The sequence below is a fragment of the Homo sapiens genome, chromosome 1 (assembly GCF_000001405.40).
Source record: "Homo sapiens chromosome 1, GRCh38.p14 Primary Assembly".
In the NCBI taxonomy this organism is placed as follows: domain Eukaryota; kingdom Metazoa; phylum Chordata; class Mammalia; order Primates; family Hominidae; genus Homo; species Homo sapiens.
The window spans coordinates 47,424,206-47,450,898 of NC_000001.11; the positions used below are offsets into that span (position 1 = coordinate 47,424,206).

Here is a 26,693-nt window from a genome sequence, read left to right on the forward strand (position 1 = left end):
GTCAAGCTGCAAAGTGACTGACCCAGGACTTGCTTCCAGGTCTGCCTGGCTTCAAAGTCATTCTCCTTTCTCTCAGGAAGAAACAAGTGGAGGTGGAAACTTGGATGAAAAGCCCCAGGCACCAATAAAATTATTCAGTTCACCCTAATATCCTCCTCCCCTACACCCGCACCCACTGTCCCGATCTTGAAAAGAGCCTTTCCAGCCGTGATGACAGGTCTTTGGTTTCCTCTTTTTTTGTCTGTCTTCCACTCCCCACACCCTTTTCACACCCGAATACTCCTCTCTCCCCTTTCCCTCTTTCTAATCTCCTTTCTCCCATCAATTTTTGGAGATAAAAGCGCCACCTATTGGCCACCTCGTGTGCACCTGATTTGAGCAGGAAATCACTGGAATGAAGTCAGGATCCATTTGGATGCTATTTTGGGCTGGCAGGAGCCCCTGGTGGCTGAAAGGCACTTGCTCCAGCAGGGAAACCAATTGTTTGGTGCAGAAGAGGAAAACTAGCTGCAGTTCCCACCTCCTCTAGAAAACCCTCCCAGATCTTTCACCCTCCCCACTTCCTCTTGACAGGCTTTGGTAGTTGCTCCACTGCAAATGGAATTGGAATGGGTGTGAGGTTGGTGGCCCTAGGTGCAGACAATTTATCTACTCTGTAAGAGGGAGACAGAGGAAAGGGGGCTGGGCTGGAGGCAGAAAACCTGGGGTCTAGTCTCAGGTCAAACACTTAGGCAAGTCCTTTACTTTCTCTGCACTTCATAGCAATTACTGCCTCTCCCCAAGTCCCTTGATTGTGCCAGGTCCTGTGCTCTTTCCCAGCTGAGGACTCAGAGATGTATCAGACACTGTCCCCGCTCAGAGAGCTCAAATATTGGCAGATGACAATATAGTATGTAGAATGCTTTATGAGATGAGGGGTTGCTAGGTCTCCTTGGTCACTCACCAATTCCAGCCTCTATCCTGACTCAGCCTCAGTCTACCTCGAAATAGAGAATGTGCCCGATCCTCTCTGTCTGGGTAGGGATGGCCTTTGTGACTGCTAAAGCATTGTGATGATGGGTGAGGATTTTCTACCCTGCCTGACTGGGGCTTCCCAGACAGCGCCTGTGTCTTCTCTGTTCCACTATGTCCCTCACTGGGCAGCCTGGCCAGAGCTGGGCATACTGCAGCTTTGGTTTGAACTGCCCTTATCTGGAGGCTGGACTTGGGGTTTAGGGAGTTGATGAGACTTAGAGACAAGAGGCCTGGACCCTGCTTGAGGGAGACACAGGTCCCACCCTGGGCATCAGTCTGTCTCCCTTGAGTTATGAAGGGGCTGGGGTTTTGTGAGCTTCACAAAGGAATGCTTCCTGAAGGTGGTGGGTTGGAGTTCTGAAAGGAGGGAGGGGAGGGCCTGCTGCTCCTGTTCCTGTGAAATCCCTTCTTCCTCTATCCATCCTAACCCCTGTCCAGCTGGCAGACTTTCAAAGTAATTTAGATGGGACGAACAGAGGGAGGGAGCCAAAGACAGAGGGATGGGAACAGAACAGGAAGGAGGAAAGGCAGAAAATCTGGGGTCCTAGCTAGCAGACTCAACTGCTTCCCTGTCTGATGGGCAGGCAGATGATACTCACAGGCACCTCACATGTCTGGCTTCACGTCCCTTGCTTTCAACATTCATAGCCACCAACCATATTTTCAAGTTGGAGCCCATAAAAAGTGTTCAGCTCATAGTAATGGTTTTTATTCTTATGTTCTGCACACTCAGTCTTAGTTATTGAAATAATCCAACTGTTTCTTTTAAAGTTTTTAATTGTTGAATAAGTAATACATTCACTTCACTTTACAAATATAAAAAAGTCATCCATGAAGTCTCCCATTTGTTTCCAATTTGCCCTAGTGTATAATCAGTTACTAGATTTTTATTCATCCTTCTAGATATTTTTGTTTCATACGTAAACCAATACAAGTATACATTATTTTCTCCTTGAAAAACACAATTGGATGCATGTTTACACTGTTCTATATATCTTGAAATTTTTTTTTCACTCAACAATGTATCTTGGCTGGGTGCAGTGGCTCATGCATGCAATCCCAGCACTTTGGGAGGCCAAGGTGGGTGGATCACTTGAGGTCAGGAGTTCGAAACCAGACTGGCCAACATGGTGAAACCCTGTCTCTGCAAAAAATACAAAATTAGCCAGGTGTGGTGGCACTTGCCTGTAATCCCATTACTCGGGAGGCTGAGGCAGAAGAATCGCTTGAACCCGGGAGGTGGAGGTTGTAGTGAGCCAAGATCACATCACTGCACTCCATCCTGGGAGACAGAGCGAGACTCCGTCTCAAAAACAAAAACAAACAACAAACAAACAACGTATCTTGGTGCTTTCTCCAGCTGAGTACATAAAGAACTTCTATATTCTACTTTTACAGTATACTGGTCCCTTTTTCAGATGTTTCATTATTTGCTTAACCTGTCCTTGATAGACATTTATGTTGTTTCCAACCTTTTGACATTCCGAACAGCACCACAATGTGACTTTGTACATATGTCATACCATATGTGTGCAGGTATACCAGCAGGAGAAATCCCTGGAAGTGGATTTCCATGCAGCCTTTGTCAAGGCACTACGTCCCCTGTGTGGTCACACTGGCTCCTTTCAACAGCAGTCCTCTTTTATTTCTCAAAGGGACCCTTGATGACCACAGTCAGATTTTCACCTTCTCAAACCCGACTGCCTTCTTCTCCAGGGCCTTTCCATCAGTCTGCCACCAGTCCCTTCACAAGGTATCCTGGCCTCTGGATTTGGGAAGCATGGGTACTTGCCATGCCCACCCTGGGGTGTGCTGTGCCGTGGCTGTCAATCCATTCAGGGTGGTGGCTCCTTTTCCTTTTTAGCCCCCAAATCCTGGGCATCCATGGCAGGTATAGGGAACCAGCTTTTTGGACCTCCACCATTCAGGCCTCCAGGCTTCCTGCCAAATGGTGCTGTCTCCCCATCTGGGTCCCCAGTTGTGACTCCTTTCTTCTGACCATAGGATAATGCTGTAAGATCTGCTCCACTACTGTTTCAGATTTCCCATTTCATTGCCTCTAGTCCCCCAGATATGAGTGGCCCCAACTTTGAAGGAAGGTGTGGATGAGGAAAGATCACACAGAGCCCCTGTGAGAGGTGTTCATGTAACTAATGGGGAGTCAAATTTCAAGGCTGGAAATGAGGCCCTTGGCAGACTGGGAACCTCTGGGTTGCCCAGGCCTGTGATGTCAGCTCATGTAGCAGTTGTCACCATTTTGGGCTGACCTAGGCAGAGGATGAGGAGTAGCCTGTTCCAGCAGACCTTGAGGGGGCTGGGCAGGGCAAGGCCAGGCAGTAACATGATGATTATTGTTGTGATAGGTATGGCACAGTAGTTAAGAGCCCTGATTCTAGACCCAGATTGTCTGTGATGGAGATACACTTCTCATATGTTGGATGAGGAAACTGAGGCCTTGGAAGAGGCGGGGGCATGCTTGAGGTCACATAGGAAGTCAGGGAGAAGACAGAGAGTAGGGCCCAGGCCTCTTGGCTCAGGCCCCACTGTTCCTCTGCAGTTGCAGGAACAAACCAGTGGGTAATGCATTTTCATGGCAGGATGGAGGTGTCCCTGAACATGTCAAGGTTGGAGAGGAGGGCAAGGCACCTCACTGAGACATCCTGATCCATGACGGGCTCCAGCTAGAGCACTAGGTCTCAGGAGTCCCCATGAGGTAGCAGGATAAGAAATTTCCCTAGTCCGTTTCCAACCCAGCTATCTGGATGCTTTACAAATGAGGAAATGCAGGCTTACAGAGATTATTTGTCTGAGACTAATAAGTGGTAAGAGCGTAATTTGAACCCAGCTCTAAGACCTGAACTCTTCTTGCTACACCTGGGTGCCTCTATGATTCATACTCAGTGATTACCCAGCCTCCACTCTAGCACTTCCAGTGACAAGGAACTCAGAGCCACCGAGGTAATCTACTACATCTCAGAGACAGCCCTGTTAGAATGTTCTCCTTGCATGGAGACACAGAAAGTGAGGCTTTTTACCCCTTTCTGGCTCTCTTTTGCCTTGGTGTCTCTGCCCCAGATGAGCCCTGTGGAGATTGGGAGATGCTGGCTGTGTTAAGCCTTTATTCTCCAGGCTAATTACCTCAGACCTTTCTTTCGTGTTTATAGGACATTTTCTCAAACTTTCGTGCATTAAGCAGGGTTAGGTTCAGTTGTGAATGACAGACTGGCCCCCCCAATCCCACATCAGTGGTCTAAACAAGACCAAAGTTTATTTCTCTTTTACATAACAGTCAGTGCAGGCAGTTCAGGGTGGTATGGCAGTTCAGTGGTCTCAGAGACCCAGGATTCTTCTCTTTTGTGGCTAGGCTATTTGTGAAATTCAACTCAACTAGCAGAAATCCACCTCAACCTAGCTTAGCAAAAGGGGAGATTTCTTTCTTTTTGAATGTCTGGAAAGTCTAGGGGTTCCAGTTTCAGGCAGAGCTGGATCCAGGGACTCAAACACTATTTTTAAGTCTCTTTCTCTCTTTAGGCTGTTTTCCTCTGTGTGTGGGCTTTGATGTCAAACAGCACTCTCCATGTGGCAGGGAGATGGCTTCTGACAGCTAAGCCTGTGTGCTTGTCTTCTGATCCAAAAGGAGAGGTGCTCCTCCCAGAGTCCCAGAGTGCCAGTCCCATGGTCTACATAGTCCCAAATCTCAGAGTCCATATGTCAAATCATGTAGAAGGGGTGACTGGCTACTTAGGTCACTTACCACTGCCTGGACCAATCACTGGGCCTTGAACTTGCAATGGTATGTATGACCCAGTTGGTTGCCTGTCTGCTCCTGGGGAGTAATTGTGAGGGGAACAAATTGGATAGCCCCGTCAGGACCACATGGAACACAGGAGGGAAGGTTTCCTTCAACAGAGGGCCGAGACATGCAAAAACTGTAAGCATGTTCAGCTCATCATGCCAGGGAAACTGCATTTTGTCTTACAAGCAATGTGGAGCCCCTGGAAGACTTTGGCAGGGCTCAGTCTGGAAGCTGGTTTGATTTGTCACAACCATTTTAAAAGGAGGAAACTGAGGCAGAGAGAACAACAGACAAATCCAATGACTGCTACAGCCAGAAACCACGGATAAACTCTGTCTGAGAGGGAGACATGTTCTCCTCCCCTCAAAGATGGGGACTGATGGGAGAGAAGCAACCTCTGTTCTTAGTGAACACGTAGTTCTATTGATGATCTGAGCTACAACCTCTGTTCCCAGTGAATACAGAATTCCATTGATGATTTACTGATGAACTCCCTAGAGTTCTATAGGGAGTCCCAGAGAGAGAGATATGCCATACCTTCCTTTCTTCCTTCCTCTTTTCTTTCATTAATATATCCACATATCTAACATTAATTGAGCACCTACTGTGTGTCAGGCTTTGTGCCTGGCAGGAGGTAGAGTGATTAATAATGATGATGCAAAACATTTATTGAGGTTTTTTTTTGGTTTGTTTTTGTTTTGTTTTTTTGAGACAGAGTCTCACTCTGTTGCCCAGGCTGGAGTGCAGTAGCATGATCTCGGCTCACTTTAACCTCCACCTCCCGGGTTCAAGCAATTCTCCTGCCTCAGCCTCCCAAGTAGCTGGGATTACAGGTGCCCACCACTGCACCTGGCTAATTTTTGTATTTTGTTTTGTTTTTGAGACGGAGTCTCACTCTGTTGCCAGACTGGAGTGCGGTGGCACGATCTTGGATCACTCCAACCTCCGACTCCCTGGTTCAAGCTATTCTCCTGCCTCAGCCACCCGAGTAGCTGGGATTACAGGCATGCACCACCACGCCCAGCTAATTTTTGTATTTTTAGTAGAGACTGGGTTTCACCATGTTGGCCAGGATAGTCTCGATCTGCTGAACTCGTGATCTGCCCGCCTCAGCCTCCCAAAGTACTGGGATAACAGGCATGAGTCACCGTGCCCGGCCTAATTTTAGTATTTTTAATAGAGATGGGGTTTCATCATGTTAGCCAGGCTGGTTTCCAACTCCTGATCTCAGGTGATCTGCCTGCCTCAGCTTCCCAAAGTGCTGGGATTACAGGCGTGAGCCACCACGCCCGGCCTTTATTGAGATCTTTCAAAGTTTCAGGTAGTAGGCTAAGTGCTTTATATGTGCATCATCTCTTTTAATCCTTACAGCAATCCAATGAGGTAGGTACAATTATTATCCCCATTTTGCAGAAGAGGAAAGATAAAGATGAACACAAAATGAGCCCTGTTCTCAAGGAGCTCACAGTCTAAAGCAGGGATCCCTAACCCCCTGGCCACTAACTGGTTCCTAACCGGTGACCTGTTAAGAACCTGGCCACACAGCAGGAGGTCAGCTGCGGGTGAGCAAGTATTACCACCCGAGCTCCGCCTCCTGTCAGATCAGTGGCGACATTAGATTCTCATAGGAGCACAAACCCTATTGTGAACTGCGCATGTGAGGGATCTAGGTTGCGTGCTCCTTATTTTTTATTTATTTATTTATTTTTGAGACTGGAGTCTCACTCTGTTGCCCAGGCTGGAGTGCAGTGGTGCAATCTCGGCTCACTGCAACCTCTGCCTCCTGGGTTCAAGGAATTCTCCTGCCTCAGCCTCCCAGGTAGCTGGGACTAAAGGCACCCACTACAACGCCCAGCTAATTTTTGTATTTTTACTAGAGGCGGGATTTCACCATGTTGGCCAGGTTGGTCTCAAACTCCTGACCTCAAATGATTCACCCACCTCAGCCTCCCAGAGTGCTGGGATTACAAGGTGTGAGCCACCATGCCCCGCCTGTTGCGTGGTCCTTATGATAATGTAACTAATGCCTGATGATATGAGGTAGAACAGTTTCATCCCAAAACCATTTGCCCACCACCACCTTGGTCTGTGGAAAAAACTGTCTTCCATGAAACCAGACCCTGGTGCCAAAAAGGTTGAGGACTCCTGGTCTATAATAAAATCTACAGACTGAAAAACAAGTAACAAAAACAGATGGAGCTAAGAGCTTCAGGAACACAGAGGTGGGAGTCAGGTGAGCGCAGGAGTGTTGTCAGGGAAAGCATCTCACAAACTTGATGTGTGAAATTAACTAGGAAGGATTAGAAGTGAGCCAGGCAAGAGTGAGCCACCTGCAAAGGTGAAGAGGGAAGAAAGAGGAAATCAGGTGTGAGTAGAGAACAGGAGTTGGAGGTAGGGGCTGGGCAAGCAGGTAGGGGCCAGGCTGCCAGGTATCCTGTGCAGACAAGGACTCTATACACAGAAAGTGATGCAGCTCTGAGAAGGCCTCAGGCTACTGAGCAGGTATCACTAGAGCCTCATGCAAATCACACTTCCACCTTTTCACTAACTGAATTGCAAGCACCAGAAGGCCTCCTGTTGATCTGGGGTCTCTGCAGTGCCCTCTGAGTGTATGAGCAGGAGAGGTTTCTCAGCTCCTCCTTCCCTTGGGTGGTGGTGGTGGATGGGGGAGGGTGGTATTTTCCAGAGTTGAGTCTGTTCCCAGACCTTAGCCCTGCCCACTTGCTGATGTAAGAAATGCAGCCAACCCCTGAAATGTGAAGTCCTTCCAAGTAGCTTGATCTGGGCTGAGGATGGGAGAAAGAAGGGTCTGGCCTCCCAGCACAGCATTGCCCTCCCTGCCTCATCCTGGAGCAATGACCACTCTCTCAGTTTCCTCCTGCATTCCCCGCTCCAGTGTGAAACCTCAATTCAGGTCTCACCCATCAAAGTGAGTTCTCCCCAAATTACCTGCTCCCCATCCAGGTGAGATGAAGAGCACCCTGGCCTGGGAAATGGTGTAGGGTTCTAGTTCCACCTCTGCTACCAGTTTGCTGTGTGATTTTGGGCAAGTCATCCCTCTCTCTGGGTCTCAATTTCCCCATCGGTGAAATTAACTTTGAAAAATCAACAGTCCAATTTTGGAATGAATAACTTCAGTCTTTATTCACTGGGGGGTGGGGTGGGTTGGGGCAGGGAACGGCATGCCCAGCATGCAACACAAGGCGTGGGTGGAGTGGATTCACAGTCTTTTTGGAGAAGAGCAGGCAGGAAGCAGGTTGGCTGTGCAGTGTGGCCTGAGAATGAGCTCAGAACAGGAAGAGGGGAAGAGGAACTGGGCTGGCCAGAAGGCTTCTTTCTGGAAGAGGCAGGACTGGAGCAGGGATTTTGAAGCGTGGGTACAGGTTGGAAAAAAAAGCAAACATAAGCGAAGAGTGGAGTCCGGAGGTTAAAAGTCTCTGGATAACTTTTCCAAGCGGGTGGAATGGGAGTAGGGTGAGGAAAGGGTGCTTTGTCTCAGAACCAGTCCTTTAGTTCCTGACTCTGTGTGGATGAGAGGCTCCTCCAGAGGTCGCTGTTCCCCAGGAATCCATTACTAGCGTCCGCACCGCGAGGCCAGAGCTCCCACTGTTCCCCTGGCTTTGCTTCTATGAGGCTTACGCGGCTCTGCATCTGCCCAGAGGACTCAGGGACGCGGCAATATTTCCGCCCCCACGAGGGTACTTACGGCCTCGCCAGTTACCCTGTCTGGGACTCAGAAGGGTTACACGTGAAGGTGAGCGCATGTGCATGTCTATGGTACACACAGGTCGCTATGGCTCTGCACCCTCCCTCCTGCGCTGCCCCAATTCAGGGCCCGGAAGGGCGTCCTGTTCCCGAGGTGCCACTGTGCCAGCAGGCGGCGTGTAATTGGTAGGAGGGAGGCTGCCGCTGGAGTATTCTTGGCTGTCCCTCAGTGCGATCCCTGCATGAACTCCTTTTCCATGCTACAGTCACAGACCCTCAACCCAGGCGCACCCTCACCCATCCTCATTCCCCACTAGGGTCTCGCTGTTGACCCCGAGCAGGTTTGTCGTCCCCGACCAGGTCGCAAGGCTTCAGACTCTGGGGGGAAGTCGCGGGCCTGGATGATAAGCCTTCCAGGCAGTCCTGGGTCCACTCTGTGGACACCAAGCATGAGGTCTGGAGGGGAGGACACAGGACACAGGATGCAAGACAGGCGCCCGTCACTCAGGGTCGCAATCCGCCATACAGAGCCACTGTTGTCCAGAGGACAGACACATGAGGACAGAGAAAGAGAGGCTCGGCCCAGCTGGCCGAGAAACCCACAAGAGCGCACTTAGACATGAAGTTCTCCTTCCCACATACCTGGAAGCGTCCCCCACTGCCCCTGGCCGCCTCTGCTCTCAAGAGCGTGGAGCCTTCCCTACCACTCCGGGAACTCTGTGATCTTCAGGACCGGCGGGTTTCAAGTGGCGCTGTTTTCGGTCTCTCCTGAGGTCGCAACCCTCTTCCCACGAACAACAGCCCACAGGCTCCGCAGCTCGCCTTGGTCTCAACAACCGCGCAGTACTTGGGTGCTTAAGCGAGTCCCCTACCACATAGTCCAGGGTTGGGGGCGGGGGAGATGGGGCTGGGAGGGGACAGTGGCCAGGAGTAGCGGAAAGAGAAGATGTAAATTCACTCTCGAACTTTGCCCGGCAGACGCGTGGTGGTTATCTCCGCGCCAGCGCCTGAAGTGGGCAGGTGGGCTTCAGAGTTGAAGGTGCACACACTGGAGCCCCAGTCATTTCTGTGCATGGGGAACATGTCTGAGGTCTGCCTCCGCGGGTCACAGGATCTGGAGTCTCCCGCCTCCCACCTGGGCTAAGGGAGCTGATCGCTTCTGAGCAGCCGAAGATCCGGGTGGAGAAAGGGGCCGGGAGCTGTACCGGCTGAGGCTAGACAGCTATCTCGCTTTGGAGCTGCAGCTAGGTCCAGAGTGGGAAGGAGGCTCGCGCCGGCTTTGCCGCTTTCCCTGAGGGTGTCCAGTTTTGTGAATAAAATTAGAGAAATCTGCGGGCGTAGTTCCCCAAGCCCAGCTCAGGCTTCCGTTTGCAGCCCGGCGCTGGCCGAGCTCGAACCGCTGAAAAGGGCCGCGTGCAATCGTTCCGCTGTGCCTCAGGACAAACTCCGCTTCAAGCCAGTGCCGCTCTCCGGCAGTTTCCTGATTGACTTAATTAGATCCGCATAATCGCTGGAGGGCTTTTCTTTCCCAGAGCCGAGAACAGCTCATTTATGGGGACCAAAAGGAAGAGAGGGAGAGACGACCCGGACGCCACTGATAGCAACGTACTCTTCGCAAAAAACACTCAGTAACTAGTGGAAAAGCCCAACAGGCATCCCCCTCCGCCCGCCAACGCTTCCTCCCAATTGTTCTGGGCTGCACGAGGGAGATGGCCGGGCCGTGGAACAGATGCAGAAGGAGGCCCGGCACGACCAGAGACGCTGTAACCAAGACCCGCAGAGCCTGTGGCTTCCCGCTCTTTGGCGGCTGCAGCAGGCATGGTGCTGGAGCCCAAGGCTTCTGGGAAAGAGTCCAGGTTTTCGCGGAGGGAGCGACGGACTCACGCGGGATCGCAGGCACTGCTGCAAGACGCCGAACAGGCTGAGCCGGTAGGCGAAAGAAGTAAGGGTCACAGAAGAAGCAAAGAAAACGAAATAAATTCCGAATCCCGCGGTGGCCCTTCTCCCAGTCCCCAGTGCACTTACTCCTGACACTGTTGAAAACAAACTGGCCCAGAACCTTGGAAGGGAGGAGAGGCTACTAGAAATCCCTCTATACAGAGAGGAGCTCGGTTAGAGAAACAGCTATTTGGATAAACAGAGGGGTTCTGGGCTAGGAACCCGGACACGTAGGTCCAACCCAGCTTAGCGCCCCTCAAAAGCCTGACAAGTAACATGATCTCCTGGACCTCAGTTTCCGCTCCTGTAAAAAGTATGTATGTGAAGGGTCTGGATTCTCCCTCCCCAACCCTGCAGAGCAGAAGCTGGGGATTCTGTACTCCCCTTCCCCAGTGTAGGTCTCAGTAGCAGTGAACGTGCAGCAAGGCCAGGCAGAGGCAAGGGCTGGCTGCTGTAGCTGCTTGGTAGAACTTCTCTGAAGCAGGAAATTTGGGCAGCAAGTGCCCTGGCTAGTCTCACCCTGACCAAAGCCTGGGGAGCCAGGGGAGTGCTGGCAAGGAAGGAAGCTACTGGTTCCCATTTGCTGTTTTAGAAACGAGGACATTCAGGCCGGGCAGGGTGGCTCACGCCTGTAGTCCCAGCACTTTGGGAGGCCGAGGCGGGTGGATCACCTGAGGTAGGGAGTTTGAGACCAGCCTGACCAACATGGAGAAACCTCCTCTCTACTAAAAACACAAAATTAGCCGGGCATGTTGGTGCCTGCCTGTAATCCCAGCTATTTGGGAGGCTGAGGCAGGAGAATCATTTGAACCTGGGAGGCTGAGGTTGTGGTGAGCTGCTGAGATCAGGCCATTTTACTCCAGCAGGGGGGCAACAAGAGCGAAACTCAGTCAAAAAAAAAAAAAAAAAAAAAAAAGAAAAGAAAAAAAAGAAATGAGGACATTCAGAAGGTGAAATGGAGTAGGATGACGCCAACACTGTTTTTCTCTCCACTTGTTTAGATACTAGCAGAGTTGAGCTGGGTTGGAGTTGGTGTGTGGTCCATGGTGTGGGGTATCTGTGAGTGGGGTTCTGGGAGTGTGAGACAGATATCCATGTAGTCAAGAGCAAGCTTGAGGTATGTGTAGGGTTGCCAGATAAAATAAATCTGCTAAATCTAGCAACCCTAGGTATGTGAGTTTCCTTGGACTCATGCAAGAAGCTTCTCTCCAAGACCTTTTTCCCCGGACAGTCTGTCACCCAGGAAATTCCAATTCCAGGGCTACTAGTCCCTGTCCAATTTGCTGTCCATGGTTTGAGGACGAGATTTCTCTTTTTTCCAATGACAGTTTATGCTGGAACAGCACATTAAATGGATCCCCTTGGTCAGAGGTCCCAGAGGGGGCCCAGGCGACTTCCTCTCAAAGGACATGAGTAGTCAGACCTGCCTTCCATTTTTTTCTGCCCTTACCTTGGGGGGATGAAGAACTCTATTTTGAGGATTCTGTGAAAAGGGTTGCAACCCAACTCTGTTCTATTTCTTTGCAGGAGCCTGGGTGAGTTCTTTCTCCCTATCCTGGGCCTCTGTAGCTCCATCTGTGGAATGGGAGAGTTGGATTAACACCAGGCTATCCCGTAGATTGGAGGCTGCTGTTAGATGAAACTGCAAAGTGTTCTCAGTACCCTTTCCTAAATGGCCTAGAATATGGCTACACTTATACATCAGTTCTGAGGTAGGTGTTACTAGCCTCATTTTTACAAAGGCAGAAACAAAGCGCAAAGAACCTTGCCCAAGGTGACAGATAGGGTAAGTAGTGAAGGCAGGATTGGAACCCCAGGAGCCTGACTTAAGGTCGCTGCTCTTAACTACTATGCAGACCAGGAAACTGAGGCTCCGAAGCGGGGAAGTCACCTAATGAGGGTCACACAGCCTTGCTACAGCGGAGGCAGCTGGGATTCCGGCCTCGCACGCCCGAGCTTTAGCCACTGTGCGGCGCTGTCGGGGCAGCAGCCCAGGCATCCGCTCAGTTCCTGCTCACGTCCAGCGCCCATCTCCCCTTCCGTGCCCCAGAGGCTGAAATGGGCCCAATCTGTGTTGAAGCTGCTTGTTTCTGGGTCCTGGAGGGAGGCCGGGGGAGAAAGAGGTCTAATAGGATGGGCAGGAACCCGGCTAGCGAGAAACAAGGCACAGGGCCAACCTTAGTTGCACAAGACTTTTGAGAGATGAAGGCAACACTTGGTGGAGGTCAGGGTTCACTGAGGGGGTGTCGGGCAGGGGGCGGAGGAGGTCCTGCCGCCTGTCGGTGGGGCCCAGAACCCTGGGAGCCAGGAAGGTGGGGGGTGTCCAGTCCTCAGGGCAACTGGGGCCAGGGAGAGGGGAGGGAGAAATTAAGCGGATTCCCAGACCCATGAACAGACATCCAGACAAATGCCGTTTCCACAGAGACTCACGGAGAGTGAGATAGTCACAGAGACTGAGACAAACGGATGCCGAGATCCAGAGGGTCGGAGAACAGGCAAACTCGGAGCAGTAGACCGGCCCGCGCCCCGGGAACGCGGCCACAGCGGCCGGCGCTCTGCCCGGCCTCTCCGCGCGGAGAGGGGTGGCGGGCCCGACAGCGGAGGGAGGAGAGGGCGCCGCCGCAATCTCACCTCTCCCAGGCCCAAGGCTGCGGGCGCCAAGTTCGCTCCTGGTGATCACTCGAATGCGTCTCCCCTCGGGCTGGAAGCCGTGCGGGCTCGGGTGGGCGCCGGCGGGCCGCGCTGGGGCGGCGTGGGTCCCGGCGTCTCAGCCTCGCGCTCCCACTGCGCTTCGGCCCGGTGGCCCGGGCGCCGCCTTGGGGAGAGGACGGGTGGGGACCGCCGCCACTTCCCTGGCTGCGGCTGGCGCCCGAGTGAGCCTTAACATCCAGGGGCTGAGCGTTCTGAAGGCGGCGGCTTCAGGGAGCACAGGGTGCAGGAGCGGCGGCGAAGACAAGGGCCCGCCTCCGGCCACTCGAGCCCAGCTCCCGCCGCGGCGGCGGTTTGTTCCCGCCGGGTCCCTCAGCGGAGGCGCTACGCCCGCCCCTGTCGCCTCGCCCCACCCCGCCCAGGGAGCTCCGCCCTAGCCCGCAGCTCTTCCGCCTTAGGCAGCCGCTAGGCGGGAGGGACAATCCCCCACCACCAACCACTGCCACCCCGAGGGGACTAGGGGCTGAGGCCCGCCCAGGTAAGGGAAAGCCTCAGCTCCTTCCGTTGCGCCCCAGCGGCGGGTCCCAGCTCGGATTCCCGGGGTAGTGGCGGGGGCCGCCGGCGGGTCGTGCCCTGGAAGGTGAGCGCGGCCGAGCTGGGCCGCCAGGGGGCGCTGCGGAGCCGGGGGACACCCCTCCCTGCCTGCCTCAGTCCCCCGCCCCCTCCCCGCCCGCGCGCAAAACGCACTCGCCCCAGAGGCAGCGCGGCCGAGCCCGAGCCGCTGCCGGAGCGGAGCCGGAGAGTGGCGGCGGCGGCGGCAGCGGCACCATGACCCTGGGCAGCTGCTGCTGCGAGATCATGTCCTCCGAGAGCTCCCCGGCCGCGCTGTCCGAGGCCGACGCAGACATAGACGTGGTGGGCGGCGGCAGCGGCGGGGGGGAGCTCCCAGCTCGCTCCGGGCCCCGCGCCCCCCGGGACGTGCTCCCCCACGGCCACGAGCCTCCCGCGGAGGAAGCCGAGGCAGACTTAGCCGAGGACGAGGAGGAGTCTGGTGGCTGCTCGGACGGCGAGCCCCGCGCTCTGGCGTCCCGGGGGGCGGCGGCCGCAGCGGGGAGCCCGGGGCCAGGCGCCGCGGCGGCCCGCGGCGCAGCGGGGCCCGGGCCGGGACCGCCGTCGGGGGGCGCGGCGACGCGGAGCCCGCTGGTGAAGCCGCCCTACTCGTACATCGCGCTCATCACCATGGCCATCCTGCAGAGCCCCAAGAAGCGGCTGACGTTGAGCGAGATCTGCGAGTTCATCAGCGGCCGCTTCCCCTACTACCGGGAGAAGTTCCCCGCCTGGCAGAACAGCATCCGCCACAACCTCTCTCTCAACGACTGCTTCGTCAAGATCCCCCGCGAGCCGGGCAACCCGGGCAAGGGCAACTACTGGACGCTGGACCCGGAGTCGGCCGACATGTTCGACAACGGCAGCTTCCTGCGGCGTCGCAAGCGCTTCAAGCGGCAGCCCCTGCCGCCGCCGCACCCACACCCGCACCCTCACCCGGAGCTGCTGCTGCGTGGCGGGGCCGCGGCGGCGGGGGATCCCGGCGCTTTCCTGCCCGGCTTCGCTGCCTACGGCGCCTACGGCTACGGCTACGGGCTGGCTCTCCCGGCCTACGGCGCACCCCCGCCGGGGCCGGCCCCGCATCCGCACCCGCACCCGCACGCCTTCGCTTTCGCCGCGGCAGCCGCCGCCGCTCCTTGCCAGCTGTCGGTACCCCCAGGCCGCGCCGCCGCGCCTCCACCCGGACCTCCGACGGCCTCGGTGTTCGCAGGCGCGGGATCGGCCCCAGCTCCTGCGCCTGCCTCAGGCTCGGGCCCGGGCCCGGGCCCCGCAGGCCTGCCCGCCTTCCTGGGCGCGGAGCTGGGCTGCGCCAAAGCCTTCTACGCGGCGTCCCTGAGTCCTCCCGCAGCCGGCACCGCGGCGGGTCTGCCCACCGCACTTCTGCGCCAGGGCCTCAAGACGGACGCGGGCGGTGGTGCAGGCGGCGGGGGCGCCGGGGCAGGGCAGAGGCCTTCCTTCTCTATAGACCACATCATGGGCCACGGTGGCGGCGGGGCAGCACCCCCGGGCGCCGGCGAGGGCTCTCCGGGACCGCCATTCGCGGCAGCCGCGGGTCCTGGGGGCCAAGCCCAGGTCTTGGCCATGCTGACTGCTCCGGCCCTGGCTCCCGTTGCTGGCCACATTCGCCTCTCGCATCCCGGGGACGCGCTGCTGTCCTCAGGGTCCCGGTTTGCCAGCAAAGTCGCCGGCCTTAGTGGCTGCCACTTCTGACCGCAGCAGGCCCAGGGCCGGTTAGGTCCGCACTCCTCAGCCTCTCCCGGGAGTTCCTGCGGTCCCAGCGGAACTCAGGGAGTCTATTTATGAAGTCTCCAGACCTTGGGCCGGCACGCGTGACACGGCACTTCAGGCTCCACGCACAGAATCTCGCAGATAGTTGGGACTAAGCGGGCTCTATCGCTCAGGGCGACAGGCCCGGGGCTACGCGAAGAAGTCGCAGGCCAAGATTCTTTACAGTTTGAGAAATAAAAGCAGGGGGGTGGGGGCTTCGTTTTTTTCCCTGCCTCTGCGCCTCTCGGGGAACACATTCCGGGAGAGATGCCTGGCCAGGCTCCACGGATCCCGCCAGAAACACCAACAGAGGGTCTCCCTTTCTGCCTTTCCCCTCTCACTTCTTCCCCAACGTTGAGACCCTGCTTGTCCAATATTATAATTTAAAGACATCTATTATCTGCTTTGTGCTTAAAAGAAAAATTCAACCTTTTTTTTTTTTTTTTTTTTTTTGCTGTTCTCCAAGGAAGTTCGTTTCCTCTGAAGCCTAAACCAGTGTCTACGCAGGCGGAGCTGAACGGAGAGGTGAAGCAGGGGGTCTTTATATTCCCTGCAGAAACCCTGGATCCCACTCCACTGAGGAAAATCCTTTCTCTTTTGTGTTTGGGTGCTTTTAAAGGAATTTCTTTCCTTTCCCTTGGCTGGCTGGGTCCAGCCATCTCCGGCCAGCAACCCTGTCAGTGTTCCACCCTGTCCCAGGCCCTGTGATATTTATTGTGGCTAAAGGCAATGAGATTGGGTGGAAGAGAAGGGTCTGGGCCAGGGACTGGAGAGGTGGGGGTGGAGTGGGCAAGGGCACACCCTGTGGCAGGGGGTCCTATAATTTTGTGTAAATATCTGTACAGCGCGCTGCTCTCGGCGTTCTCTGTCCACTGGGTGTGCATTGATTTAAACTTCTCCACTGTGGGGAAGCTCTGTGAAATCGTCTGATGGTCTGTGTGGAAGAAAAGAAAAATCTGTCTGCCGCCTATTTCCCATTGGTGTCGATTGAATAAATGTATGTGAACTTCAGCAGTCACCAGCTCTGTCTGCTTGCCTGCACTCCCTTGCCCCTGATGGGGCTCTCCCAGAAGAGCTTAGCTCCCCAACAGAGGGGGAGTGAGGAAAGGCCCCTGGGCAGCCCAAGCAGGCAGAGAGGGGTTTGAGCTTAGAGGATGCAAGGGGCACTTTGGTCTTGGCCTTCAGCTGTTAATGAGGCCGAATCTCTGGGAAGCCTGTGGCCTCTCCAGCACTTTCATTTTCGTTCTAGTCCTAAGAAGGTTGTTGCCTGGAGTTTTGCCTGGGGTTGTGTTTCCACTGCACCTGAGGATTCTCATGTCCTTCTAGTTTGGATGTTGGCATGGCCTGGGCAGATCTGGGTGCTAAGGGTTCATGAACACTCTACCCACTAAGTACAATTTAAGGTGAATATATCTGGTGATGTGTACTCTGTATGCCTCTGTTTCTGAGTGAAGGGCTTTTATGGAACTTATGATTTGTTTTTGTGTTTGTCTGGGTCGGCACAGCTCCTTGCTTTTTTTTTTGTGTGTGTGTGTGTGTGAATTGTATTTCAGAATATCTGCATTATTATTTCTATGTATGTTGGTGAACATGTCTTTGTGTGTGTTTGTGATTCTCAGTTGCTGTCTTTCTGTCTCTGAGAGGAGACAGGTTTCTCCCTGGCGGCTTTAGGGCCTTGTCTGGAATCCCCTCTCCCCCCCCCGCCACCCCCTAACACATGTAACAGAGTAAAAGGCTTGGACTGGGGACTGTGAAACCTTTCTTTCCTCCAGCCCAAGAGGGTTAGAGGGGCACTATGAGCTGAATGAAAGAGTCAGTGGAGTAACACTCAAGGTAAAACTTCCCATCCCGTGAGCAAGACTCATAGCTGGAAGCTACTGCCTGAGTACAAATCCATTGGTCTGGTTGGAGTCTTCCATAAACCCATTGAGTCTCCCAGCTCTCTGCCTATGCCTGGGACTCCCAGTGGCCAGACTTGCCAGTGTGTTGAGTGAGAGGTGATCTTTGGGTGAAGCAGAGATGATTGCTTAGCTCTTTTCTCTATATATTCCAGTGAGATTATAGGAGAGGAGAAACAGAGGTGCAAGAAGAGGCAGTGTAGACTTCACAGAAAACAGACACATGTTGAGGGCAAGGGTTGGGAGATGAAGTGACAGACAGAGAAGGAAGAAGACACGGTCAGAGACCCAGATGCAGGGAACTTGAGAGAGGTGAGCCACACAGGCCTCTTCAGCTAGGATCCCTGCAGCTGGCAATAGTAGAAAAGAAGGAAGAGGTGGAGGACTGAGACCACTGTAGAAAGGGTGTCAAAATCAGGATTAGGGTGGGAAGAACACACCAGAGCTGGGGAAGGGTTGTTTGGGGTTCCCAAGTCTCTCATCGCCTTCACCAGTGGAGAAGAGATGAGGCTCAAGGTGCAAAGAGTACACGCAGTCCCTCTGCCAGAGGCAAGGCAACCCTCTCCTTGTTGAGAGACTGTGGAAGTGGAGGGAGGTCAAACGGAGTGGGCCACCTTCCCACCATTTTATCAAATGGTCCAGGCAAAGTAAGGTTAGGTTGGATGGTATAAAGGGAGAAACCTCTGCTGATACTGGGATGAAGGTCTCTGGCTGGTTGCTTCGTCTACTTAAATGTCTCTGAGTTTAATTTTGTTTATTTTCACTTGAGGAAGGGTGACTGTGACTGAAGGAACATGCACCCACACAAGTGAGCATGTGTGTGTGTGTGTGTGTGTGTGTGTGTGTGCGCTGTCAGTAAAGCACTTTGTAGCTATGTGATCTCATTTACAATGAATATGTCACTCCCAGATATTAGATCGGAGGTTTACGTAAAAGATTTATTAATTGGTTTTTCCTCTTTAGAGGAGAAAATTAAGTCAGCAAGAATTATGTCTGATGGTGGATAGTTGGATGAGATACTTCCACAACTGCTATTTATAGGAGAAGCAGCAGACCCTTGTGTGTGTGTGTGTGTGTGTGTGTGTGTGTGTGTGTGTGTGTGTGTGAATTTATCTGAGCATATTGCTTGGTGTCTGTGTGTTGGAGGATCCATATCAGGAAAAGGTAGAAAAAAGAGGGCTGGGGAACAAGAGCGAGATGTACCCTTATAGGGGCTTCTAGGGATCTTGGAGCTCCAGACCCATGACTCAGACCCCAGTTTCTCAGTGGGCCAAGAAGGGTAGACCTGAGCCAGAGAAGATTGCGGTCTGAGGACCGGGAGTCAGAGAGAAGCCACTGATGCCCAGCTGGCCTTGAAAAATACCCAGAAAGGGAATTGCTGCGGGAGCTCCCAAGGCTCCAGATGCTGAAGGCAGAGAAGAAGGGAGGGTATTTAGAGTTTGGGGCTCCTTTAGGTTGTCTTTGTGGGGAACCTGTTAGGAGCTGGGAAGGGCCCATTTGGGATCTGGACTTCAAGGCAAAGGATGAGGGAGTTTCAGGATTTGTATGGTAGAATCCTCCTGGATGTTTTTTAATTCCTCCTGACTGGAAGGGCCTAATGGGTGACTCCTCCCAAACTATGGGTGCATAGGGTGGGTGTTCAGTTTAAGGAGGCTCACTAGGCATCCTGGGAGGAGAAACAGGCTATCCCATCTGGAGGGGCTCCTGTAGGTTCCGTCTGTGCTTGGGTGGAGGGAACTGAGGTTCTGCTGCCCTGCAGGCCCCAACAATCAGTGACAATAATAAGAAAATATTCAGGGCATACCTTCATCTCTCTAAGGTGAGAAAAAAAAGAAGGTAGGAAATCGGCCTGGGGTTCAGAGAGTGCTGCTGAGAGCGGGCAGTTTAAAGGGAAAGAAAATTGGCGAATTTCACTGGTCAATTTCACTTCATTTCGTTCAATTTCGTTCAATTTCATTCCTTTTCATCCAGCGCCGGGAGGCCCGAGGCCACAAGGAAGGGGAGGGGGTCTTTCCGGGCGAATTTCCCTCATCTTGTAGATTTACTCTCTAGGGCTGTGAAGAACAGCCTTGATTCTGAAACTTTGACGTACGTTTTTCAGCCGCCGCTAAGAGCAGACATTTTATTTTATTGAAGGGTATTTGGTTTGGGTGATCGAAGCACATCGGTGAGACTCTCCGCACTTCTCTCTTGCAGCCCAATTAAAGCGGTTAATTCTTTTCACCGCTTATTCCTCCCCATCTTTCTTTCTTTCTCCTGGGGCTCCTCGGACCACCCAGGAGCCGGAGTTGAGGTGGGGGCGGACACTTCCCCTCCATATCCAATTTGCTCTTGCCACAGCGGGCGCGTCTTCGTGGTTACAAAGCGCTTTTTCCCTGATGACTTTTTTCCCCTTTTCAAAAACACTTCTTTCTCCCCCCTTCAACTAGCAACCCTCCCCAGGCCCACCCCTCCTCCCTCTCCGCTCCGGTTTATTTAAACTTCGCCTCCTCCAGCGCCGCCGCAGCGCGCACTTAATGAAGTTGAAGGCTCGGTGAGCCCGGGTGAAGAGGGTTTGGAATCTGTTGAAAGGGGCGTTTTGTGACACTGATTGGGGCGGGGGCGGGGGCAGTCGCGGACCAGACAATGACCGACCAGGCGGGTTTTCCTGCGCACAGGGTCAGGCGAATAAAGGCGCCGACGCTGTTTAAACGAAGGACCTTGTAAGAGAAAGGGAGAAAAGATTTTGTGTGTGGAGCGTGCCTCGTAAGGTTTCGTGCTTAGGAGAAGTTGGGAGGAGGCAGCTCGCCTAGAGTCTTTACGGACCGAATTCGGAGTTTATTTCGAACACTATGCATCAAGCCAAAGAAAAGCGGGGCCAGTTTGGGTTTGCGCCTAACTTAATTCCGATACGCGCGTCAAAATGTTGTGTAGGCTGGGGCCTGGGGAGGCGTTCAGGAGGGCCAACCAGGAAGATGACATCCAGCCCACATTTGTCTCTGTGGCTGACGCTCTGAGGTTTGGCGCTCTGGAGAAACGTTGAAAGAAAACTAAAGATGGGCAGTGGTCGGGCAGGATAACTCATCCTCCTAAAGCGTTTGTGAGCAAAACAAATGTTGATTGGGTTTTTTGGAGCGGAATTACTCTGTTCTTTAAGGTCGGCGCAGACACGTACCAGCAGAGAACCTGTAGACAGGACAGAGGTTTCCAGCTCTAGTTTCGGGAACGGATTTTTCCGCGGGCTAGTGGGCGCGGCGCGGCGCAGGGCGGAGCGGGCACCGCCTCCTTCCGTAGCGGAGCGAGAGCTGCCGCTCGAGGCTGAGGCCGCTCCGGAGGCCTGGAGGCTTCGGACTGCTGGACTAGTGGGGAAGGAAGGCGGTTTCCTCCGCAGCGCCCCGGTGCTGCACTCCGCACCGTCACCTTCTGGGTTGTTTCTGGCGCTCCCTCTGCTCTCAGCCTCGAGTCCTGGGTCCCTGCGGAGCGCTGTCTTTTCGCTCCACGCGGACTCTGAGCGGAAGTCGCTCGCTGTCCGCGACTTTGCATTTCTCCTGCAGCAGGGGTCTCTACCCGGTGCCTTCCTCCCGGCACGCTAGCCTCCTCGCCGAAATTTCGTCGTCCCGGAGTCGGTAACCGAGTCCCAGGCTTTACTGCCACTCCACTCCCTGCTGGGTTATTTAAGAGATACGCGGCTTCCGAGGGGTTTTCATCAGACCCCGCAAGTGCGCTCGGCTGGGAAGGATGCGCTCCGATGCCGCTACAGGGGTTCCGCGCGTTTCACCGCGGGAAGCCCGGGCATTGGAGATCTGTGCTCAGTTCTCTAGGTGTTGGAAAGTTGCCTCAGGCTGCTTTCATCTCTGGGGCATTTCTGTCTACGCAGGCAGAAGGATCTTTGGAATTGCAGTTGCATGGATCTTAGTTCTGGAAAGGGCGAATCATTGGGGGAACAAAAAATTCAAATCCGTCCTTTTGATTCCTAAAAATCACTGCAGACCTGAAAAGTGCATTTCGAGTTATCTGTGTAGACACTGCCGGTGTGTGTGTGGTGGCGGAGGGTGGGGTAAGGGCCGAGGGTACAGGAGTGGACTTTATTGTTCACATTAACTCACCGGTGCTTACAGAGGACCCTCGATTCGCGACCCCCTCCCCCAGCAGGTGTCTGTGCAGTTCGGACTCCTGGGCTTAGATGCCCCATCCCGTTCAGATGCAAATGTGCTGGGTTCGGGTTGAGTGTGAGGAATCCACCTCCCCACCCCCACCCCGGCCCACGCCTTCCTTCCCCGACGCCCCTTCTGGGCCTTTTGGGTTCCTGTCTCAACTTTGAGTTGCCTATACATCTTTTTGAGATAGGTCTCGCCTCCTCAACAGTCATCATAGTCAAAGAGGGCAACTAGTGAGGCTATTGCGTGAATTAGCCTTCGACCCAGACTGCAGGAGCTTGGGGGTTCTGAGGACAGCACGGCTCTACTTTCCACTTTGGAGTGGAACCTACCTGGCGGGGGTCACACAGCAGATAGTTTGTGCAGCTGGGAAGATGAGCCCTGGACCCGAACGGTATGAGGATATGTATCCTAAGGCCAGCTTTGGTCCCAGTTCACTGGGTGCCGGCTGCCCCAGCCAGCTATGGTCTGCAGAGCCCGAAGGCAGGCAGGAGGATCGCAGATCGAAGATCTGCAAGGACTGAGGATCGTTCCTAGTGTCTGTTTGGAAGCCCGTGGGTCTTGCAATGCGAGGGCAGACAAACTACGAAGCGGGTTCCGGATTCCGATGAGCCACACGACCTCTCCGGCCCCTGATCTGAGCACCCCTCACCTTGGTCCATCTGCTGACCATCTAAAATGTGTAAGCCCAGCGTCAGGGCTCAGTGTGTGACCAAGAACAGTTTTCCTGTTTGAGGAGTTACCTGATAATGCTCAAACACAGGCGAGTTAATTTGTCCCCAACTCTGGAGATCTTTTTCCTGTCTGGCTCCTTCTTTCCTTCCTTAAATATTTAGTGAGCACCTACTGTGTGCTGGGCATTGTCCTGGAGGTACAAGCAGTGAACTTCTGCCTGGCATCATTACAAGCAATCTAACTTGGTAGTTGAGAAAACAAAGAAAGATATAACGATCGACTATCACCATATTTGAAGTAAAAAAAAAAAAAAAGAACTTTGGTGTTTTAAGGGTTAAGTTTGTAGCTTTTCACTTTATCATGATGGCTGCAGGTATCACAGCCCATAGATGTGTGCCTTCTGGGTGTTTGGGGACTGTGACTGTGTTTATGCTTGTGTGTGAGAGGGTATGGATATGCATCAGTGTGTGCAGGAGAATGTGCTTAGGGGTGAAGATTGATGAATGACTATGTGTGTGCTAAGGTATACTTGTGATGTATCAGTGTGAGTCTGTGAGTACAGTAAGTCTCCCTGGCTGTCTTGGGCAGAGGCTGGAGAAATGTGAGTGAAGAGGATTGGAGTGGAAGGGTTAGGAATGAGTCCCTGCCTGAGTTCCCAGCCTATTCCTCTGTTCCTTAACAAAAATTAGGACGTATCCTTCTTCCAATTTCCTTCCCTACTGCAGACAAGGATGGGAACATGGAGCACAAAGTGAAGGTGCTAATGGAGTGCAGTGAGGGCAGCAGTGGAGCAGTCAGCCCTCCTCCCAAGATTCTTACCTCTTACCTTTCCCGCTATGTCCAGCCCCTGCAGCCTGCCTGGGGGTCAGGATCCAGGTTATTGCAGAGCAGCTGAGAGGCTCCATTGTGTGGCCTTGGACCTGTTCTCTGGCCTGGTGCTGCTAGCCCCCTCCCCTCTAGACCACACAGAGGGTCTTGGCTACTGGTCCTAGGTGACTGTGGAGTCTTCTCTTCCATTGCCAGAAAACTGGCTTACATCAAGGAGGCAGGTGCAGGCTGTAGAGCCTGAAATGCCAGAGCTTGCAGGGTCTCCAAGGCTAACATTGTATGGGAAACTGGTCTAGAGGGGGTGAGCGGTGGCATTTGCCCAGAGTTGCTCAGCAGGATCCTAGATATAAAGTTGGACCCTGCAGCATCTATGCACTAACATAGACAATTAACATAGATAATTAACATAGACAAATAACATAGACTATAGACACTGGTCCAGATCTTTTCCTTTTATTTTTAGTTGATGCATAATAATTGTAGTAAATAATTTACTACAATTATTACAACCCCACAAATATGGGATTTAATTGTATGTAAATCCCATATTTGTGGGATGCAGAATGATATTTGATACATGCATACAATATGTAACAATCAAATAAGGGTAATTAGCATAACTCTCACCTCAAACACTTATCATTTCTTTTTGTTGTGAACGTTAGAAATCCTCTTCTAGGTTTTTGAAGATATATAATAAATTATTGTTAACTATATCTACCCTACAGTGCTATGGAACACTAGAACTTGTTTCTCCTACCTTGCTGCAATTTTGTTTTCATTAAGGTATAGCTATTTTGAGGAAACTAAAAACTTAGCATCTCCTCTTGTCTCTAGGGAAATCTCAAATGTCACCTGGGCTGTCAATGCTTCTGAATGCCCCTTCCTTCCTAAAGGCAGGATAGGAGTAAGGTCAAGATCAAGGTGAAGGATAGCAGACAATTATCCAGATAAATCAGGCATGGAATAGATCACCTTTAGGTGAGAGAGGTGCTCGTGGCTTTAGGGAGAAGTGTAGGTTAGCAAGAGCGTCTGGCACTCCACTTTCCCCAGGGTTCCTGGGCTGGGAGAGGTGGCCGAATTCTCCTCCTAGCCCTAGGCAGAGCAGAAGGTCCAGCGCCAGTGACCCCCTTGGAGGAGAGGAAGGGGTAGGGGAATGGTCAGAGTTTGCCAGTGAATGTCTCTAGTTTTCGGATCTTCCAGTGTGGTGGCTTCCCTGCCTCTTTTGCTTTCGTGAGTCTGTTGGAGAATCTATCTGTCAGTTGGCCCACTGGAGTGCTCCAAGCCTTGCTTCCCTCACCCCACCTGACTCTAGGCCTTTTATAAAGTGAAGAATAAACAAAGAAAATCTGGGCCACTCAGGTCCCAGGCAGCTTTGGTTGGAGCCGTTCCTTCCTTGGTCAGATATGCTGACCAAGCTTCAGGGCTTTGGGGTGTGTGTGTGTGTGTGTGTGTGTGTGTGTGTATGTGTGTGCGTGTGTAGGCTCAAGTGTAGCATTAGGAATTCTGAATTACACTTACCTCTGGAAGCTACCAGGGCTTTTTGGTGCCTCTTTCCACTCCTCCTGGATCTTTACCTTAGCACCTACCCTGAAGATACTTATCTAATATTGGGAGTAGAGAAGGGGAGGAGGTGAGAAGATTCCTGATTCTTGCTGGGGTGCTGACTCTCTGTGTCCTTTGGCAAGTACTCCCCCTATCCCCACTGGGCCTCCATTTCTCTGTCTCAGAAATGGAGCTGGGGAAAGTTAGCCTGGACTCACCTCCTGGGTCTGTGGTCAGTGGCTGCTTCCCAGCTCCTCCCTCTAGTCTACTGAACAGCTCATGCCCCTCCCTCAGCTGTCGCTCTGCAGCAAGGGTGCTGGATGGGACAGTGCTGGACTTTGGAGACATCTCAGGAGCAGCCTCAGGACTTCTACCATAGCTGCCTACTTACTGGGAGCTTGGCTCACTTCCTTTCTGGATCTAAGAGGCTTCCACGTGGGACCCAGGGCTTTTTCCTTCCCTGGCAGGGCCATGGAGGGGTGGCCAAATCTCTGTGTATGTTTTGGTTGCCGGTTTGCATAAATGTACCTCCTTTGGGGAGAAGGGGGAATGTGGATGAGGTTGAAGGTGAGTCGCTGCCTGAAGCTGGCAGAGCTCAGCCCATCCCATTGTGTCTCCCGGGGCACTGAGATAGGGTGGCACAAAATGGAAAAGGGAGCCTCTAACCCAGCTCCTTTTTACTCCTCTCTGTTCACCCTGAGCCACCCAGCCTTCTTTCCGGGAAGCCTTGCCCGGATGAGGGCTGGGTAGTGGGGAGAGGCAGGGCACCCCACAGGAGCTGGAGGGCTGTAACCTATCAATGTGGGGGAGTGGGTCAGAACGTTCCCAAAGCCTGAGTGGGGAGGGGGCTGTGGCTTGGCTCCCTCCCTAAAAGTCCCCGCCCAGGCCAAACTAAAGAACTTGCTTTTGTGGGGTTGTAGCTGGAAGTACTCGAAGACTGGGGGCCGGGACCAGAGCTCTCAGAGACAAGTCCGCCGAGTGAGTGTCTGAGGATGGAGACGCGAAGGGAATGGGGAGGGGCGGGCTCTGTTGCCGCTTACCCTGGAGCTGGGGCTCCAGTTTTCCAGTCGAAGTTCTCCTCTCTGCCTACATCTCGGATTCTGGGTCTCAGATGCAATCGCGCACCCAAATTGCATCCTGTGAACAGAAAAAGTCTCAAACATGCGTACAAAGAATATTCAGAAGCAGAAGCAATTTCTGAAGAGCGAGGCCCGGGACTGAGTTGGCGAGACTCCCAGTTCGAGTGAGCGAAGCCAGGGTGGAGGGCTCCGGACCGAGATTCCTGAAAGCCTCCCTGACACCGGATCCTGAGCGCAGGACGGGCCCAGCCACTTGGGGGCGCCGCTGGCCCCAAAGTACCGGGAGCTTACCCTCCGCTGACCAGGATTCACCCTGGCTGGCAGAGACTACCCTACGCTCCGCTCACCCGGCCACCCCGCCCCGCTCTGCGCTGACCCTCCGTTAGAGGCTGACTCTCCAAACTAGGACGATCTTGCTCCTATGCGGGACGACCCAGCGCTAAAAAGGGATGACCCTATACCACCGGGGGTGACCCTGCTTTGAGTGGGTCTGACCCTGTGCTAACAGAGATGACCTTAAACTGACAGAGGCAGATCCTGTGCTAACCGGGATGTGCTTGCGCTACCAAGATTGGCTTTGTGCGCTCCCTCTTAAGGCTTATCCTGCATAGATTAGGTGCTAAGGCTTGCAGTCCTTGTTATGGTCCCTGTAGCTCTTGCGCCGCAGCAGGGATGCCCTATTCCACCCCCAAACTGGTAGCTGCTTTATTCCTCTCCCCGTAGCCCTTTGGGGGCAGTTCTGGGACACCTGGTTGGAGAGAAGCCTGCCGTGGCTGGGCACACCCTGCACCTCTGGGAGGAGGAGTTCACAACCTCAAGGAGGAGGTGGCTGAGTTGTGGGGAGGGAACTGATTTTATGGAGGCTGGGGCATCTTGGGGGCCAGGACTGTGAGTACTTTTCTGTTGTCTGTGCTCCTGACCCCAGAGCCCGGCCTTGCCACCCCCACACCCTCTCCACATATGTAGGCGGCTTTATTTTTGCACCACTCCATCTTCCTGGGCCTACTCTCCCTCTCTGTAAAATGAAATGAACTTATCACCAGACTGCCCTCATCTG

The 26,693-nt window shown here is 53.5% G+C and overlaps 1 protein-coding gene and 2 long non-coding RNA genes across 3 annotated transcripts in view, besides 7 other annotated features; 1 reads left to right on the top strand and 2 right to left on the bottom strand.

Moving 5' to 3' along the window:
* The window catches only part of LINC01389 (long intergenic non-protein coding RNA 1389), a 56,522-nt gene extending 43,410 nt beyond the window's left edge, over nucleotides 1-13,112 (bottom strand). The window contains exon 1 of the long non-coding RNA NR_126355.1: nucleotides 13,085-13,112. This is a non-coding gene — a long non-coding RNA (long intergenic non-protein coding RNA 1389). The remainder of the gene's footprint in view (nucleotides 1-13,084) is intronic.
* Nucleotides 7,410-7,519: a silencer, noted in NCBI's record as "silent region_855". NCBI's record gives its function as "represses an Ori minimal core promoter by ATAC-STARR-seq in GM12878 lymphoblastoid cells {active_cell/tissue: GM12878}" and the evidence as "EXISTENCE:reporter gene assay evidence [ECO:0000049][PMID:35858748]".
* FOXD2-AS1 (FOXD2 adjacent opposite strand RNA 1) lies at nucleotides 7,928-10,436 on the bottom strand. The gene has a single exon (NR_026878.1). It is a non-coding gene; the product is annotated as an FOXD2 adjacent opposite strand RNA 1 (long non-coding RNA).
* Nucleotides 9,921-10,436: an enhancer, noted in NCBI's record as "H3K4me1 hESC enhancer chr1:47899798-47900313 (GRCh37/hg19 assembly coordinates)". NCBI's record gives its function as "activates a minimal SCP1, AML or CMV promoter by ChIP-STARR-seq in naive and primed H9 embryonic stem cells {active_cell/tissue: H9 hESC(naive and primed)}" and the evidence as "EXISTENCE:reporter gene assay evidence [ECO:0000049][PMID:30033119]".
* Nucleotides 12,319-12,478: a silencer, noted in NCBI's record as "silent region_856". NCBI's record gives its function as "represses an Ori minimal core promoter by ATAC-STARR-seq in GM12878 lymphoblastoid cells {active_cell/tissue: GM12878}" and the evidence as "EXISTENCE:reporter gene assay evidence [ECO:0000049][PMID:35858748]".
* Nucleotides 12,959-13,858: a silencer, noted in NCBI's record as "silent region_857". NCBI's record gives its function as "represses an Ori minimal core promoter by ATAC-STARR-seq in GM12878 lymphoblastoid cells {active_cell/tissue: GM12878}" and the evidence as "EXISTENCE:reporter gene assay evidence [ECO:0000049][PMID:35858748]".
* On the top strand, nucleotides 13,839-16,486 carry FOXD2 (forkhead box D2). Its single transcript, NM_004474.4, has one exon. The coding sequence runs from the start codon at nucleotides 13,931-13,933 to the stop codon at nucleotides 15,416-15,418; it is 1,488 nt and encodes a 495-aa protein (NP_004465.3). The 5' UTR covers nucleotides 13,839-13,930; the 3' UTR covers nucleotides 15,419-16,486.
* Nucleotides 13,889-14,068: a silencer, noted in NCBI's record as "silent region_858". NCBI's record gives its function as "represses an Ori minimal core promoter by ATAC-STARR-seq in GM12878 lymphoblastoid cells {active_cell/tissue: GM12878}" and the evidence as "EXISTENCE:reporter gene assay evidence [ECO:0000049][PMID:35858748]".
* Nucleotides 15,257-16,026: an enhancer, noted in NCBI's record as "H3K27ac-H3K4me1 hESC enhancer chr1:47905134-47905903 (GRCh37/hg19 assembly coordinates)". NCBI's record gives its function as "activates a minimal SCP1, AML or CMV promoter by ChIP-STARR-seq in naive H9 embryonic stem cells {active_cell/tissue: H9 hESC(naive)}" and the evidence as "EXISTENCE:reporter gene assay evidence [ECO:0000049][PMID:30033119]".
* Nucleotides 21,990-22,490: an enhancer, noted in NCBI's record as "H3K4me1 hESC enhancer chr1:47911867-47912367 (GRCh37/hg19 assembly coordinates)". NCBI's record gives its function as "activates a minimal SCP1, AML or CMV promoter by ChIP-STARR-seq in naive H9 embryonic stem cells {active_cell/tissue: H9 hESC(naive)}" and the evidence as "EXISTENCE:reporter gene assay evidence [ECO:0000049][PMID:30033119]".

Bases quoted from the DNA above. Each gene is read 5' to 3' on its own strand.
- FOXD2 (NM_004474.4), top strand. From the start codon at position 13,931: ATGACCCTGGGCAGCTGCTGCTGCGAGATCATGTCCTCCGAGAGCTCC.